This window comes from Homo sapiens, chromosome 16 (assembly GCF_000001405.40).
Source record: "Homo sapiens chromosome 16, GRCh38.p14 Primary Assembly".
Classification (NCBI taxonomy): domain Eukaryota; kingdom Metazoa; phylum Chordata; class Mammalia; order Primates; family Hominidae; genus Homo; species Homo sapiens.
This window is the reverse complement of record NC_000016.10, coordinates 15,818,871-15,836,195: the sequence shown is the minus strand read 5'-3', so window position 1 is coordinate 15,836,195 and position 17,325 is coordinate 15,818,871. Positions and strand designations below refer to the sequence as shown.

The following is a 17,325-nucleotide window of genomic DNA, read 5'->3' as shown; positions in this document are numbered from 1 at the left end:
TGATGTGCAGAGGTCACCCAACCCGGCCTATGTCTATGTCTTCTCTCTGAAAGGCCTTGCTCACCCTCGAGCAGGTTACCTCATGCCTCTGAAGCTTTGTTTCCTTTTCTGTAAAATGGATGCAAGAATAGTGCCAGCCTCTTGGGAGCCGGGCATAGTGGCTCATGCCTGTAATCCCAGCACTTTGAGAAACTGAGGCAGGTGGCTCACTTGAGCCCAGGAGTTTGAGACCAGCCTGGGCAACACAACGAGACCCCATCTCTGCAAAAATAAATTAGCCAGGTGCAGTGGTGCGTACTCATAATCCCAGCTACTCAGGGAGGCTGAGGCAGGAGGATCACTTGAGCCCAGGAGTTCAAGGCTGCAGTGAGCTATGATTGTGCCACTGCACTCTAGCCTGGGTGACAGAGCAAGACCTTGTCTGTTTCAAAAAAAAAAAAAAAAAAAAATAGTACCAGCTTCATGGAGTGGGTTACTCTAAATAGAAAGCACTTAATACACTTCCTGCTACATGTTAAGTGCAGGCACTGAAAATGTTAAGTGTTACTAGATTGGTTTTTGCTGTGGTCATGATCACTTTTGATTTTACTAGTAAGATGTTCTTCTTCCATCACTTGGCATCCTTGTGTCTCTTTGGTTCTGGTCTGTACATTTTGCCAAATGAAAATTACAAAAAGCCCCTTGTCATCTCTAAAAATGTCCTGCACATTTTTTTCCTAATTAGGAAACTAAGACACGTTCACTATGGAACACTTGGAGAGTTCAGAAAGCATAGTGAACACAAAACAGAAAAATTAGTCCTTAACCAGAGATGCGGTGCATTCTTTGTCTCTTTGTGAGCATGGTATCTGTTTACATATTTAAAAGCCTATTGGGCACACAGTTTAGTGACTTGCTCTTTTTTCCATTTGGAAATGCTCAGTGTTGACTTGTGTAATATATCTCAGGAAGCCCCAAAGATACCCCTTGTAAGGGGTAGTATAGAATCTGTCATGGGGATAGGCCATTTTTCCACTGTTCTTATAGATATTTCAGAAGGAGTTAGAGTGGCTTTTTAAAGAGCCAAATGGTAAGAGTGAGCAACTTAGCAACTCATAACTTTTTTTTTTTTTTTTGAGATGGGGGCTTACTCTGTCTTTGAGGCTGGAGTGCAGTGGTTCTATCGTAGCTCAGTACAGCTTCCAAGTCCTGGATTCAAACGATCCTCTCACCTCAGCCTCCTGAGTAGCTGTGGACCACAGGTGTGCACCACCACACCTGGCTAATTAAAAAAAAAAAAAAAAACTTCTGTAGAGACTGGGATCTCACTATATTGCCCAGGCTGGTCTCAAACTCCTGGCCTCAAGCCATCTCCTGCCTTGACTTTTCACGGCGCTGGGATTACGGGTGTGAGCCACTGTGCCTGGCCGTAACTATTAAATATGTCCTCCAATCCAAGTGCTGTACATTGACACATTGTATTTTATTTAACACAGCATCCCCTGAGTTAAAAATGTTTGCCCCTTTTAGGGAAGGAAGCTGAGGTGCAGTGTTGCAAAATGTATCTTTACTTTCTTAAGTAGGGGAAGTCTCTTGTCTGTGGCACTGTTTGTATGGAAAAATTATTGATCTGGGGCTGTTTGTATGGTGGACATTTTCTTTTTCTTTCTTTCTTCTTTTTTTTTTTTTTGAGATGGAATTTCACTTTTGTTGCTCAGGCTGGAGTGAAGTGGAGCGATCTTGGCTCATTGCAACCTCCACCTCCCGGGTTGAAGTGATTCTCCTGCTTCAGCCTCCCGAGTAGCTGGGATTGCAGGGATGTGCCACCATGCCTGGCTGATTTTTGTATTTTTAGTAGAGACGGGTTTCACCATGTTGGCTAGGCTGGTCTCCAACTCCTGACCTCAGGTGATCCACTTGCCTCGGCCTCCCAAAGTGCTAGGATCACAGGCCTGAACCACCACGCCCAGCCAGTATGTTGGATATTTCTAAAGAGGCCCGTCTGTAGGGAGCTAGAGGGAAAATTGGACTCTTTGGGGCCCAGGTCTTTCATCTAAGACGTATCATCACCATCTAGGGAGTTTCAGGACAGGCCTGTGTATTCATCTCACCTGCTGTCCTCAAATAGAAATCAGAAAAAAAAAGGGCATATGAAGGTCCTGAGACCCAAAATATCTTCTGACAGCAGATTAAAAATAAATGAATCAAAGCTTCAAATTCCTGCTATGCTTCTCTGGACAGATTAGATTAAAATCCTTTCAGCCTTGTGATGATGGTCCCGCTCTTCTCTTGTTCCTTTCTGGTCAGTTTAATTGCTTAATAGAAACCGTCGTCCATGACGGAGAAGATAAAGAAGGAAAGGGGTTGGGGTGGGGGAGCACAGTAACTTACTCTCCCAGCCCATAATAGCAGCATGCATGAGTCTTGTTAATAGGCGGGTAGTGAGGTGATACCAGGTCCGTGGTCTGGCATGCATGACTTTGCCCTCTGTGATGAAGATAAACTTTCTCCTCCGTTCTGCAAGGCTCGCCTCAAACGATGTGCCCTTGAGAAGGTTCTGGCAGACCTCTTGTGCTCTTGGATCTAGAAGAGTCTATAGAAGCCAGAGGAGCTTTCCTCCTAATCTTAGAGATGCAGGTTCTGGGCTCAGCAATGTCCAGCAGTCTACCTAAACTGCTGAAGACCGTTTGTGGCATACCTGGCGGGGAGCATGGCTTTGACGCCTGGTCCTAAGGGTCCCTTGGTCTTCTGAATGCTGTCTTTTGGCTGAGTTCGTCTGCCTCGAGTTAGTTAGTTCGTTCCTCCCTTCCTTCCTTCCTTCCTTCCTTCCTCCCTCCCTCCCTCCCTCTCTCTTTCTTCCTTTCTTTCTCTGTCTTTCTGTCTTCTTTTTTCTTTCTTCTTTTTTCTTTTTCTTTCTTTTGAGATGGGGTCTTACTCTGTTGCCCAGGCTGGAGTACAGTGGCATGATCTCAGCTCACTGCAACCTCTGCCTCCTGGAACTCAAGGGATCCTATCTCAGTCTCCTTAGTAGCTGGGACTACAGGCATGTAGCACGATGCCCAGCTAATTTTTTTGTGTTTTTGGTAGAGGTGGGGTCACACCGTATTGCCCAAACAGATCTCGAACTCCTGAGCTCAAGCAATCTTCACCACTTCGGCCTCCCAAAGTGTTAGGATTACAGGCATGATATTGTGCCACTGCACTCCAGCCTGGGTGACAGAGTGAGACTACATCTCAAAAAAAAAAAAAAAAAAAAAAAAAAAAAAAAAAAAAGATGAGGTTGCTGAAGCTCAGATGTGCTTAGTCCCACCACTGGAAGGTGGGCAGAGCTGGGATTCAGACAAGGTCTGTGTGAGTCCAGGGCCAGGGTGACTACCTATGATTAGTAGCAAAGGGCTCTTGGGGTAATAGGCTTAGAGCAGGAGGTGATGGTCGTGGGCTGGAGCAGGAGGGGACAGTGCCAGAGGCCTTGTTAGCTTTGAGGTAGACAAGCTTTAAGTGCAGAGCAAGAAGGAATTGAACCTTTTATTATGATTCCTTGAGCACCTAACTAGGTGCTAGACTAATGATTACAACCTGCTAACACAGAGGAGTGATTTTTGTTTTTAAATTGAGTTAACTTAATATATCAAAAAAAGAAATCTGTTTCTGGCATTGCTCGAAAAAGCAGAGGACCTGACACTGCAGAATGCAGAGTGCGAGTAGCAGTCCCTGTGAGATGGGCTTTTTGCTCTGCTTTTCCGCAGACCTCACCACTCCCTGTCGTCTCCCAGGCCATGGTAACCATTGACCGTGGCACCTCTTTTGTTCACTCACACACGCCCTGCTTCACTCATGCCTTACCTGCTTTGTCTCTGTAGACAGTGGGACCCTCCACCCTATACCAAACCTCTGGGGTTGGGAAAATCATGATCCAGAGCCAAGGTGGATGGGCCCCCCTGCTCATTGGAACTCCAAGCCCAAGTCCCTGAACCATGAACCCCAAAGGACATTTTTCCAGTTCTGGTTCTGCTTCTGGAATGCCCAGGGGGTCAGGAGAAGCCCTCCTTCCAAACTTTAGCAGGTGACAATTTTTCCGCCTTAGAGACCTGGCCCAGCAATCTTAGCCTACTCTGGAAGCAGTGTCCACCCGGGGACACAAGGAACAAGCAGATTGTGAACAGAGGCCTCCTGGGTGCCAGCCACTGCACTGGTCCCTAGAGGGTAGAAAGACACTGTAACTGGAAGCTGCCCTTTGTCAAGCCCCAAGCATTAGCCCTTCTGATCTTTTTTTTTTTTTAACATGGAGTCTCGCTCTGTCACGCAGGCTGGAGAGCAGTGGTGTGATCCTGGCTCACTGCAACCTCCATTTCCTGAGTTCAAGCGATTCTTGTGCCTCAGCCTCCCAGTAGCTGGGATTACAGGCACATGCCACCACGCCCAGCTAATTTTTGTATTTTTAGTAGAGAAGTGGTTTCACCATGTTGGCCAGGTTGGTCTTGAACTCCTGAACTCAGATGATCCTCCCACCTCCGCCTCCCAACGTGCTGGGATTACAGGCATGAGCCACTGCACCCAGCCTTCTGATCTTTCAAGTCATTATTGCTTCAAAGAACCTCCTCCAGTAATACAAGGATAATCTATGCAAAGACCTCAGGAGAATATTTAAAAATAAGTATGTATCACAAAAAGCAGCCCTCTTCCCTGGAGGCAAACATGATTCACAGGTTCATGTATGTACACACACACACACACACACACACACACACACACCCCAAACATAAGAAAAAGTCACTCCTTGTATGTTTTGCAGTATGATTTTTTTTCCACTTAACCCTACCTTATAGTTTTTTCTGTCTGTTCATAACTATCTAGTCAGACTTCAAATATGTTTTTGAATAGGTAAGACATGCAAATATGAAATAAAATAGTGTATAAGGGAATATAGAACTTCCCCCTTCGTTCCTATTTCTCGCCCTTCCAGTTCCCCTTCTTAGAGACACTGTGGTTGCTGGTTACATATGTAGCCCTCCAGTCATGTTATTTATTTATTTATATTATTTTTCGAGATGGAGTCTCACTCTCTCACCCAGACTGGAGTGAAGTGGCATGATCTTGGCTCACTGCAACAGCCCCCTCCCAGGTTCAAGCAATTCTCCTCCCTCAGCCTCCCAAGTAGCTGAGACTACAGGCGTGTACTACCACACCCAGCTGATTTTTGTATTTTTAGTAGAGAGGGGGTTTTGCCATGTTGGCCAGGCTGGTCTCGATCTCCTGACCTCAGGTGATCCACCTGCCTCGGCCTGCCAAGGTGCTGGGATTACAGGCTTAAGCCACTGTGCCCAGCCTATTGCTTTTTTTGTGATAAAGTCTCACTCTGTCACCCAGGCTGGAGTGCAATGGTGCGATCTCGGCTCCTGCAACCTATGCCTTCTGGATTCAAGCGATCATCCCGCCCCAGCCTCCTGAGTAGCTGGGATTACAGGTGTGCATCACCACACCCAGATAATTTTTGTATTTTTTGTAAAGATGGGTTTTTGCCATGTTAGCCAGGCTGGTCTTGAACTCCTGACCTCAAGTGATCCACCCACCTCAGCCTCCCAAAGTGCTACAATTACAGGTGTGAGCTGCTCCATCCAGCCTCCAGTGATGTTTTATACACATGCAGCCACATAGAGAGCCCCTCCTGCACCCCTCCAAAATGGCAGCACAGGCCCCGGCTGTTGTGCGTCTCAATCTTTGCATCTAACTGTGTATTTTGGCCATTCATCCATGGTAGTAGAGAGAGGGCCACTGCACAGTCTTCTGCTATAGGGATGAACCATAATGATTAAGCCTGTCTGCTATTGACAGGTATTTAGGTTGTTTCTAGTCTTTTTGCTCTTAAAAGCAAGGCTGCAGCAAAAGCACGTGCTTGGTGGACCACGTCTGTCTCTAGGTTGGGTATTTAGAAAGCCGTGATATTGCACTGCAGCTTCATAAAGAAGCCGTGATTATCCATCACTTTACTGAGGAAGCTCAGGGGTAGGTCTGTATGCACAAGTCAGGCAGGTGATAAGGCAAAGCCAACACTCTGCCCAGGCCTGTGTGTCTTTTTTTTTTTGAGACCAAGTCTCGCTGTATCACCCAGGCTGGAGTGGAGTGGCACAATCTCAGCTCACTGCAACCTCTGCCACCTGAGTTCAAGCAGTTCTCCTGCCTCAGCTTCCCGAGTAGCTGGGATTACAGGCACGCGCCACCACACCTTGCTAATTTTTGTATTTTTAGTAGAGATGAGGTTTCACTGTGTTGGCCGGGCTGGTCTCGAACTCTTGACCTCAGGTGATCCACCCACCTTGGCCTCCCAAAGTGCCGGGATTACAGGTGTGAGCCACTGCGCCCGGCCATCCCTGTGTGTCTGAAAGCCAGTGTTCCTTCCACTTCCCTCCCTTCCCTCCCTGTTCCTCATTTCTGCTGCAGGCCCCGGGAGCACCCCCTGCTCAGGGCTCTGTGGCTGACCATATAAAGCGTCAGAGAAAAACTGGAGCTGCTTCCTAATACGGTCACAAGAGGGAAATCCTGGGCCTGCAGCTGGGACTTGCTGGTGGCACAGGGCCCATGAGATGCCGGCTGGGACACAGGAGGCTGGGATGTTGAAACCTCTGAATTTAACCAGCTGGAGAGGGGCTCGTGGGGCCAGAGAGGCAGAAACACAGCCAACTATGGTTGGGCTGGGTCGAGGTGAAGGAGAAGTGGCTGAATAATGTGGGAGGAAGAGCCCGATGCTGAAGCCCCACGACCCTGCCGTGAGATGTGCGGCTGCCTGCACCAGTCTTACCTTCACTCCATCGTCATACCCTGGCTTGCTTAGAAAGCTTTTACAGAACTCAGCAGAGATTCAGATCTACCTGGAAGTATGGATTAAGTGCTTGTTGTGTGCACGGCACTGGGAGAGATGTCCCAAACAAAGAGGATGGAAGTCATATTCCTCTTTCAGAAGCTAGTGATGGAGTTGAAAAGGCAGTGTGGTCCTTCCTTCTTTTTAAAAATTCATTTTATTCTTTTTTTTTTTTTCTTTGAGACAGTCTCACTTTGTCACCCAGGCTGGAGTGTGGTGGCATGATCTCGGCTCACATAACCTCTGCCTCCTTGGTTCAGGTGACTCTCCTGCCTCAGACTCCTGAGTAGCTGGGATTACAGGCATGCGCCACCACACCCAGCTAATTTTTGTATTTTTAGTAAAGACGGGGTTTTGCCATGTTAGCCAGGCTGTTCTCAAACTCCTGACCTCAAGTGATCTGACCTCCTCGATTTCCCAAAGTGCTGGCATTAAAGGTGTGAGCCACCATGCCCGGCCTCTTCCTTCTTTTTAAAAATTCCTTTTATTCTTTTCTTTTCTCTATCTCTCATCTCTCTTTCTTCCTTTCTTTCTTACTTTCCTTCCTTCCTTCCTTCTTTTTTTTTTTTTTTTAGAGTCTCACTCTGTTGCCCAGGCTGGAGTGCAGCACCATGATCTCAGCTCACTATAACCTCCACCTCCTGGGTTCAAGTGATTCTCCTACCTCGGCCTCCCGACTAGCTGGGATTACAGGCGCCTGCCATCATGCCTGGCTAATTTTTGTATTTTTAGTAGAGACGGGGTTTTGCCATGTTGGCCAGGCTGGTCTCGAACTCCTGACCTCAAGTGATCTGACCTCCTTGGCCACCCGAAGTGCTGGGATTACAGCTGACTGAGTGTCTACCCTGTCCCTGGCACTGTGCGGGGTGCAGGAGATACAGTAGTGTGTGGGTCACAGTCCAGGAGGTAACATTTAGGCAGAGCTCTAAAAGAGGAGAGGGAACCAGCTGTGGGAAGATGAGGGGAAAAGTGTTCCAAGTGGAGAGAACAGCATATTGAAGGCTCTAAGGTGGCAAGACTTCCCTCTCGTGAAATGAAGGGAGCATAGTAAGAGTCACTAAATAACATTGATTGAGCACCTACTACATACCAGCCGCCATGCTAAATGCTTTTCGAGCATTATCTCGCAGCACATCTATGAAGGGCTTGTTCGTATGCCTCCCTGTTTTGTAGATGAGGATAAGTGAGACTCAGAGAGGTTAAGGGACTTGCCCAGGGTCACACAGCGAAGAAGTAGCAAAGTGAAGGTTCAAATTCAAGTACCCCATACCCAGTTCTGAGCCCTTAGCCACTGCCCTTTACTGCCTCCAGGTCAAGGGCTTGAGTGAGGACAGGTTGGGCTGTAAATGATACCTACATTCAAAAGGGGCGTGGCAGTGGACATGGCCCCAGAGGAGCTGGAGATGGAGTCGAGGCCTGAAGGAGGGTGGGGCTTGATTGACCTTTGTTCAGGTGACCACAGACTGGGCTCTTCTCTTTGGGAGGCTTGTCCTGGGGACAGGGGACACTGATTGAACAGGAAATAGCCCCTGGCCTGGCTCAGTGTAGTCCACTGAGTACCTACTGCCGCCGTGCAAGGCCCCCAGGTCACGGAGGTGAAGTCAGGCTGTCCCTGCTCCCAGGAAGCTGTATCATTAATTTATTCCCCTGGCATGCATTTAGCAAGCATTTAGTTAGCACCTATTCTATACCAAGGCCTGTGCTGGGACTGAAGAGGAGAAAGGGGGTTCCCCGGACTCAAGGCACTTGCAGCTGGTGTTTGCAGGATGGGTGGGAGGGTCCTGGGTGATGGAATGGGGAAGAGGGGTGTCCAGGCAGGCAGCCCCCCACTCCCAGCCCCACCAGGCTGGATGTTGCTCCTGGGCCCCGCTTACCTCTAACCCTTGCTTTGCTTCTCCATTTCGGTCCGATGGAGCCGCTTATACCAAGCTGCTTATAGTTCACCCCCACGGACCCCGTGTCCTGTTTTTCTGCCCATGTCCCTGCTTTGTCTTGAGCTGGTTAACACCTTGTTGTCCTTTAAGACTCAGTGCAGGGAATACCTCCCCACCTGGAGGTTTCCCTGACCACCCCCAATGTGGGTTAGGGCCTTCCCTTCCTTGTTCCTATCATTCTCTGTTCTTACGACGTGTTTTAATGTACTTGTCTCCCCCTCTGATTTAAGTTCTTTAAGGGCAGGAGCTATCATTGATTTCTTTATCTCCAGCCTCTGACACAGATGTGGTATATAGTAGGTGCTCAGTAAATGGTTGATGGCTATTTAGACAGGCATATGTTGACTCATTCATTCTCCTTTTAGGGGATGGTGAGAACCTCCGTCTCCATCAATCCTGTTTCCTTTTTTTTTTTTTTTTTTTTTTTTTTGAGATGGGTTCTCCCTCTGTCACCCAGGCTGGAGTGCAATGGCACCACCTTGGCTCACTACAACCTCCCTCCACCTCCCAGGTTCAAGTGATTCTCCTGCCTCAGCCTGCCGAGTAGCTGGGACTACAGGCATGTGCCACCATGCCCTGCTAATTTTTTGTATTTTTGGTAGAAACAGGGTCTCACTGTGTTGCCTAGGTTGGTCTTGAACTCCTGAGTGTGAGCAATCTGCCCTCCTTGGTCTCCCAAAGTACTGGGATCATAGGTGTGAACCACTGCGCCCAACAATCCTGTACCTTCAAAGAATATTCCTCTGCAGCACCCCCAGACATTACATACCATTGTCCCTGAGTGGACTGAGCCCTGGAAGGACCTTCCCACTCTCTCTTTTTCTTTCTTTTTCTTTTTTGAGACAAGGTCTCACCGTGTCACACAGGCTGGAGTGCATGGCACAATCACGGCTTACTGCAACCTCAACCTCCCAGGCTTAAGCAAACCTCCCACCTCAGCCTCCCAAGTGGCTGGGACTACAGGTGAATGCCACCATGCCCAGCTAATTTTTAAATTTCTTATAGAGATGGGGGTCTCACTGTGCTGCCCAAGCTGGTCTCAGACTTCTGGGCTCAAGCAATCTTCCTGCCTTGACCTCCCAAAGTGCTGGGATTACAGTTGTGAGCCACCACACCCAGCCAGACTTTCCCACTCTCTAATTGGCTCCAGCCCTTGACTAAAAGGCCCTTGAGGGCTGGGATCCTGTGTTTTTTTAATGTTCTAATGTAGTCCCAGCACCTTTTGCATGGCATCTGGGACGTACAGAATGAATGAATGAATGAATGAATGAATGAATGAATGAACGAACGATCAGTAGTTTCTGTTTCTGTTGGATGGGCCTAGGCTGGATAGCATAATGGACCATGCTCATACCTGGGGGCGGGCCAGGCTGGGCTTGGTGCTGCCAGGATCTTCTTTGGTGACCTCGGTCAAGTCACTTAACCCTCTGTTGCTTGGTTCACCCTAGCTGTAACTGAGAGATGGATCTGTGGTTCTCCCTAAGTCACTTGCAGGGAAGAGGATACGCTTTATGGCCATCAGAGTCTTGGGCAGTACTGATGTTTATCGTTTGGGGAAAGCAGTTCCTGTGAGACGGGTTGGAGCCTGTCTCCTGAACTGTGACCTCAACCATGGGAAAATCTAGTATCCAGTAAGGAAAAATCATGACAATAGTGCCTTACCACGTACAGCATGGCGGGACTCGCCTTGTGCCTTGACTCCTCCGTCCCTGATCTGATTATTTTCAGATGCTCCTATTCACCCAGTAGGAGAGGACTGCTATTTTTTAAATGGTAAAGTGCATATGACATAAAATTTACCATTTTAAACATTTTAAAGAAAACAGTGCCATTAAGTGCATTCACAATGTTGTACAGCTATCAATTTCAAGACAGGGTCTTGCTCTGTCACCCAGGGGCTAGAGTGCAATGGTACAATCATAGCTCACTATTACCTTGAGCTCCTGGGATCAAGCAATCCTCCTGACTCAGCCTCCCAAGTAGCTGGGACTACAGGTGATCACCACCATGGCCAGCTATTTTTTTTTTTTTTTTTTTTTTGTAGAGAGGGGGTCCGGCTGTTGTTGCCTGAGCTGGTCTCAAACACTTAGCCTGAAGCAATCCTCCCACCTTGGCCTCCCAAAGTGCTGGGATTACAGGCATGAGCCACTACACTTGGCCCCAGAGCATTTTTATAGCCTCAAAAGGAAACCTTATACCCATGAGCAGTTCCTCCTCATTTCCCACCTCTTTCCAGCCTCTGGGAACCACAAGTCTGTTTTCTGTCTCCATGGCTTTGCCTACTCTAGACACTTCACATAAATGAGATGATAGAGTACGTGACTTTTCGTGCCTGGCTTCTTTCACTAGGCATATTTTCAAGCTTCATCCACATTGGAGAGCTCATGTCAGTGTTGGTCTCTGTTTTGCAGATGGGGAAGGTATTAATGATCAGGAGCAGGCGCTGTGGGGTAAACAGGAGTTCTAGTTCCCAACTTCCCTCCAGCTGTGTAACCTGGTGACAACCTCACCATGCCTCACTTTGCCCTCCTGTCAAACAGGCGGTGGGGAAATCACTGTTACTGAGTAGTTGTGAAGATGCCACGAGGAGATGCCTCTGCCATCTTCTAGAGACTGAGTCACTGGGGTTTCTTCTTAGATATGGACATTGGGAGGTCCCAGAAAGAGATCAGAGGGTGGTGGGAGGAGAGAGAGCTTGGAGGATTATTACCTTTTCCTCCCTCCCTCCTGGACCACAGTTTTGGCAGCTGTGTTTCTGTATGACTGCGGATCCCTCTGGACAGCCCCTTTTTAGGGGTGTGTGGCTTTCTATGCCTCCAATGTTCAGTTAACGACATTCCCTCTCTGGCTGAGTGCGGTGGTTCCCACCTGTAATCCCAGCACTTTGGGAGGCTGAGACTGGCGCATCACCTCAGCTCAGGAGTTCGAGACCAGCCTGGGCAATATGGTGAAACCCTGTCTCTACAAAAAACAAAATAAAAATTACCTGGGCATGGTTGTGCACACCTGTGGTACCACCTACTTGGGAGGCTGAGGCGAGAGGATCACTTAAGCCCAGAAACTCAAGGTTGTAGTGAGCCAAGATCACCCCACTACACTGCAGCCTGGGCGACAGAGCAAGACCCTGTCTCAAAAAAAAAAAAAAGTAAACAACATTCTCTTCTGTTCTTGCTCTTCAGACTTAACTGCTCCCGTCACTGGTTGGGTTTCTTTAATTCTGCACACATATCTGTAAACACTTTCTTTATTAAATGTTCCTGAGTTAATATCTTAAGCACACTGTTCATTTTCTGTGCCACCTGTTAAATGATGAGCATTTAATATGATTGTCAGCATCCAAAAAAGATCCTGCGTAGTGCTTAGTTCGGTGCCCAACACATAGTAAGTGCTCAATGAACGGTGGCTGTTATTTAAGCCAGTGAGGTCCGGGGAGGTAAAGTGGCAGGTCGGAGGAGTGGAGCTGAGATTTGAACCCAGAGCTCTTCAAAACTCCACAGTTTGGCCAGGTGCAATGGCTCACAACTATAATCCCAGTGCTTTGGGAGGCTGAAATGAGAGAATTGCTTGAGCCCAGGAATTTGAGACCAGCCTGAGCAACACAGTGAAACCCATGTCTCTACAGAAAATATAAACATCAGCCAGGCCTGGTGGCGCCCGCCTGTAGTCCTGGCTACTCAGGAGGCTGAGGTAGGAGGATCACCTGAGTCCAGAAAGGTCAAGGTTTCAGTGAGTCACGTTCACACCACCGCACTCCAGCCTAGGTGACAGAGTGAGACCCCATCTCAAAACAAACACAAAACCCCCCACAGTTGCAAAATAAAACATAGGCAGCTTGGAAACCCACTCTCGCCCTTTCTCCTCTTCCCACGTACCTGGAATATCAGTGAGGCCCAGGGTTTCCACTAAGACTCCAAGCTCCAGTTTCCCCATCTCTAACATGAGAATATTGAGTGCTTCTGTGCAATCTGTCTACCCTGGAGGAGGTCTGGAAGTAAGCTGGGTTCTCTGTCTGCAGACGTACTCTGGCCTCTTCTGCGTGGTGGTCAACCCCTATAAACACCTGCCCATCTACTCGGAGAAGATCGTCGACATGTACAAGGGCAAGAAGAGGCACGAGATGCCGCCTCACATCTACGCCATCGCAGACACGGCCTACCGGAGCATGCTTCAAGGTGAGTGAACTCAGGGCTGCACGGGGCCAGCTCCAGGGAGCCCCTCCTGTCCTGCTTGTCTGCAGTTCTTGCCAGGAATGTGGAGTTTGGCAGGCACTGCGAGGGACCAGGAGTTACTGTGGCTGAAAAAGGGAAAAAGCAAAAGGAACATCTGTGTTTGCAGCCTGGGAGGGTGAGGGAGAGCCAAGAGCTTGGGCAAATACGGGCATGGGCCCGCTCCAGCTCCAGCTCCGGGGCTCGCTGCCCAAGGTCCCCGTCGGGCCAGCTGTCTGCAAAGGATGGAAAGAGGGTGGGGAACAGCCCTGGGGCTGAGCCATTGTGGTCTGTGTTGACACCTACCTGTCCCTCAACCCCTGTGGGACTGTGGGTAAATATCTTTTCCTCTTCAGCCTCAGTTTCCTCATTTGTCAAAAGGGGTGATAGTCTCTATCTTGTAGCTTCTTGTGAAGATTGTTAATGCTGGTTTTTCCAAACTTAAGACTTGTGCCTATTACTTTCATGTTTATACGTTATTATTTTTACTATTGTTTTATTATTTTTGAGACAGGGTCTCACTTTCTCGCCCAGGCTGAAGTGCAGTGGTGCCATCTCGGCTCCCTGCAACCTCCGCCTCCTGGGCTCAAGCAATTCTCCTGCCTCAGCCTCCCAAGTAGCTGGGACTATAGGTGTGGACTGTCATGTCAAGCTAATTTTAAAAAGGTGGGTTTTTTTGTTTTGTTTTTGTTTTGTTTTGTTTTGTTTTTGGAAGTGACAGGATCTTGCTATACTGGTTGGTCTCAAACTCTTGGCCTCAGGCGATCCTCCCACTTTGGCCTCCCAAAGTTCTGGGATTATAGGCATGAGCCACTGCACCCAGGCCTTCTCACCTTCTATTTAGAACACTTTGGAGCCCCTGAAATAGCCACCCCCAAGTCAAACAGAGGGACTAGGCAGTTAATGCAAACAAGTGTACCAGGTCAGGCGAAGAGTACAAGAAACTCGAAAACTCACACCCCCTCTGAAAGGGCACCAACAGGTGGGAACCCAGGGATCTGAGTTGGGAGTTGAGAGGAGCCCAATTCTGGAAGTTCTTGAGGCCGGAATCCAGGTGTGCCTGAGAGATGCCACGACCCCGCCCCCAAGATAGAGGGACTCAGGTATAAGTGCCCCAACTTTCTGACAGTGAGCCAGACTCCACAGGTAGGACCAGAATCTTGGCCCTTCTAGGCAGGGCCTGCCATTACCTCCAAAGACCAGCAGGTGGAGCCTTGCAAAGGCAATCTTGGAGCTGTAATCTCAGGTTGTAAAGTGATGGCTCCTGGAGTCAGGTATCTGTCTTTTTTTTTTTTTTGAGACGGAGTCTCGCTCTGTCGCCCAGGCCGGACTGCGGACTGCAGTGGCGCAATCTCGGCTCACTGCAAGCTCCGCTTCCCGGGTTCACGCCATTCTCCTGCCTCAGCCTCCCGAGTAGCTGGGACTACAGGCGCCCGCCACCGCGCCCGGCTAATTTTTTGTATTTTTAGTAGAGACGGGGTTTCACCTTGTTAGCCAGGATGGTCTCGATCTCCTGACCTCATGATCCACCCGCCTCGGCCTCCCAAAGTGCTGGGATTACAGGCATAAGCCACCATACCCAGCAATTCCTGGTTCTTTTCTGGAGCTGAGGTCCCACTAAGCACATTTTAATCTAAATACCAAAAAGAAAGAAAATTCTGTTAGCAAAGGAGAAGGAGGGGGAGCGACAGATGGGTAAGCATTTCTACAGTGCTCTGAAAAAATTTATTTGTAACTTGAAAAAGTCTTTAATATTGTATATTCATTCTAGAAAAACTTAAACATATATTTAAGTAAAAGAGAACTTGCTGGCACCTATGATTCTATCATCCAAAACTCATCACCATTAACATTTTGTTACGTGACCTTTCATTACACTAACTGAACTAAATGGCATGAAATGAAGGAAATTTTTACTATCTGAAGATAATTCGTTCCAGAAAAAGATCACTTAAAACAGAGACCAAAGTTTCACTGTAGATAGTATGTGTGTGGAGGAGGGAAAGAGAGTGGGCAAAATATTTGACTGAGCTTGAAAAATGACATTGCAGGCCAGGCACAGTGGCTCACGCCTGTAATCCTGGCACTTTGGGAAGCCCAGATGGGTGGATTGCTCGAGGTCATGAGTTCGAGACCAGCCTGGGCAATATGGCGAAACCCTGTCTCTACAAAAAATACAAAAATTACTTTGGTGTGGTAGCACATACCTGTAGTCCCACTTCTTGGGAGGCTGAGGTGGGAGGATCGCTTGAGACCAGGAAGTGGAGGTTGCAGTGAGCCGAGATCACGCCACTGCATTCCAGCCTGGGTGAGAGAGCCAGACCTTGTCTCAAAAGAAAAGAAAAGAAAACCAACATTGCAAATTATAAAAATAGGTTAATTTCAGCTTACATGTAATAAGAATTTTATTTTAATTACAAGTAGGTGCTAATTTGTAGATTCAGTATAAAATGAATTAAGAGTGGGTGTGGGGTTTTTTTCTGTAACTTTTTCTGGGCTGAGGGATGAAATCATGTGAGCATAAAACGACATCTTCATGTCATGCTTGACTTCTGCAGCCCGAGCTAAAAAGGATCATTCTTACAGATTTATTTGATGGGTCACCAGTTTTCCTAAGGGCTTCTTTTACTTCTTTAGTGTTTAAGTCTCTCAAAGCCCCTGTGGTCTTAGCGTTCATTCAGCTGTGAATTGCCCTGAATCTTTTTCTTTCTTTTGTCTTTCTTTCTTTCTTTTTTTTTTTTTTTTTCCGGATGGAGTTTCCCTCTTGGTGCCCAGGTTGGAGTGCAATGGTGTGATCTCAGCTCACTGCAACCTCCACCTCCTGGGTTCAAGCGATTCTACTGCCTCAGCCTCCCAAGTAACTGGGATTATAGGCATGTGCCACCACACCCGGCTAATTTTGTATTTTTAGTAGAGATGGGGTTTCACCATGTTACCCAGGATGGTCTCGATCTCCTGACATTGTGATCTGCCCGCCTCAGCCTCCCATAGTGCTGGGATTACAGGCATGCACCATCACACCAGGCTAATTTTGTATTTTTAGTAGAGATGGGGCTTTACCATGTTGGTCAGACTGGTCTTGAACTCCTGGCCTCAGGTGATCCTCCCACCTCGGCCTCCCAAAGTGGTGGGATTACAGGTGTGCACCACCACACTTGGCCCCTGAATCTTTTTTTTGGCCTTTCCAAGGCCACTGACTTTGCCAGTCACTGCACCTTGTTTTCCAGAACTGCCACTTTGTTTTGTGTTCATATCATGATGGTGGCTATTGATACCCAATAATTGGCAAGGTGAAGCCACTGAATCGTCGGAGAAGGAGGTTTCGGTGGAGTTTGATCGCTCTTGTAGTCATTGAAGAATACTTTTGTGTTGTGGGGACTTTTGCTTTCCTAGACCAGCAGTCCCCAACCTTTTTGACACCAGGGACCAGTTTCATAGAAGTCAGTTTTTCCATGGACCGCAGGGGAGAGATGGTTCGGGATGATTCGAGCGCATTACATTTATTGTGCACTTTATTTCTATGATTACATTGTCATATATAATGAAATCATTATACAACTCACCATCATGTAGAATCAGTGGGAGCCCTGAGCTTGTTTTCCTGCAACTAGACGGTCCCATCTGGGGGTGATGGGAGACAGTGACAGATCATCAGGCATTAGATTCTCATAAGGAGCACACAGCCTGGATCCCTCTTATGTGCAGTTCACAGTAGGGTTGGTGGTTCTATAAGAGTCTAATGCCGCCTCTGATCTGAGAGGAAGCAGAGCTCAGGCAGTAATTGGAGTGATAGGGAGTGGCTGTAAATACAGATGAAGCCCACTACTCACCTCCTGCTGTGCAGTACCAGTCGGTGGTTTGAGATGCCTGCGCTAGACCACCTCTTAACTGTGAGGCAATGTTGTAATTGACAAGGACACCCTGTGTTCATATATTTGATTCCTCATGGTCTCTAGGTTTTAACACAAAATTGCATAGTCAGCTCTCTTGAAACTACTTAGAAATGCTCACTTGACACATAGTAAGCTCCAATAGGAAATGACTATCATGATTGAGCACAGCAGCATGTCTTCAGTCCTAGCACTTTGGGAGGCCAAGGCAGGAGGATCACTTGAGGCCAGGAGTTAGAGACCAGCCTGGCCAACATAGTGAGCTCTTGTCTCTACAAAAAAATAATTAGCTGGCCACAGTGCGTGAGTCTGTAGTCCTAGCTACTCTGGAGGCTGAGGCAGGAGGATGGCTTGAGCCCAGGACTTCAAGAATGCAGTGTGCTATGATCGTGCTATGGTACTCCAGCCTTGGCAACAGAGTAAGACCCTGTCACGAAAGAAAGAAAGAAAATGAAAACCGT

The 17,325-nt window shown here is 47.9% G+C and overlaps 1 protein-coding gene across 4 annotated transcripts in view, besides 1 other annotated feature; it reads left to right on the top strand.

The window, feature by feature from the left end:
- MYH11 (myosin heavy chain 11) overlaps nucleotides 1-17,325 on the top strand; it is a 153,894-nt gene that overhangs the window by 20,833 nt on the left and 115,736 nt on the right. For all 4 annotated transcript variants that reach the window (NM_002474.3, NM_022844.3, NM_001040114.2 and 1 more), the window contains exon 3: nucleotides 12,785-12,941. In NM_002474.3, coding sequence (NP_002465.1) covers nucleotides 12,785-12,941 — 157 coding nt within the window. The remainder of the gene's footprint in view (nucleotides 1-12,784; nucleotides 12,942-17,325) is intronic.
- Nucleotides 767-944: a silencer, noted in NCBI's record as "fragment chr16:15929109-15929286 (GRCh37/hg19 assembly coordinates)". NCBI's record gives its function as "represses an EF-1alpha promoter that drives an FKBP-Casp9 reporter gene in an ReSE screen in K562 erythroleukemia cells {active_cell/tissue: K562}" and the evidence as "EXISTENCE:reporter gene assay evidence [ECO:0000049][PMID:32094911]".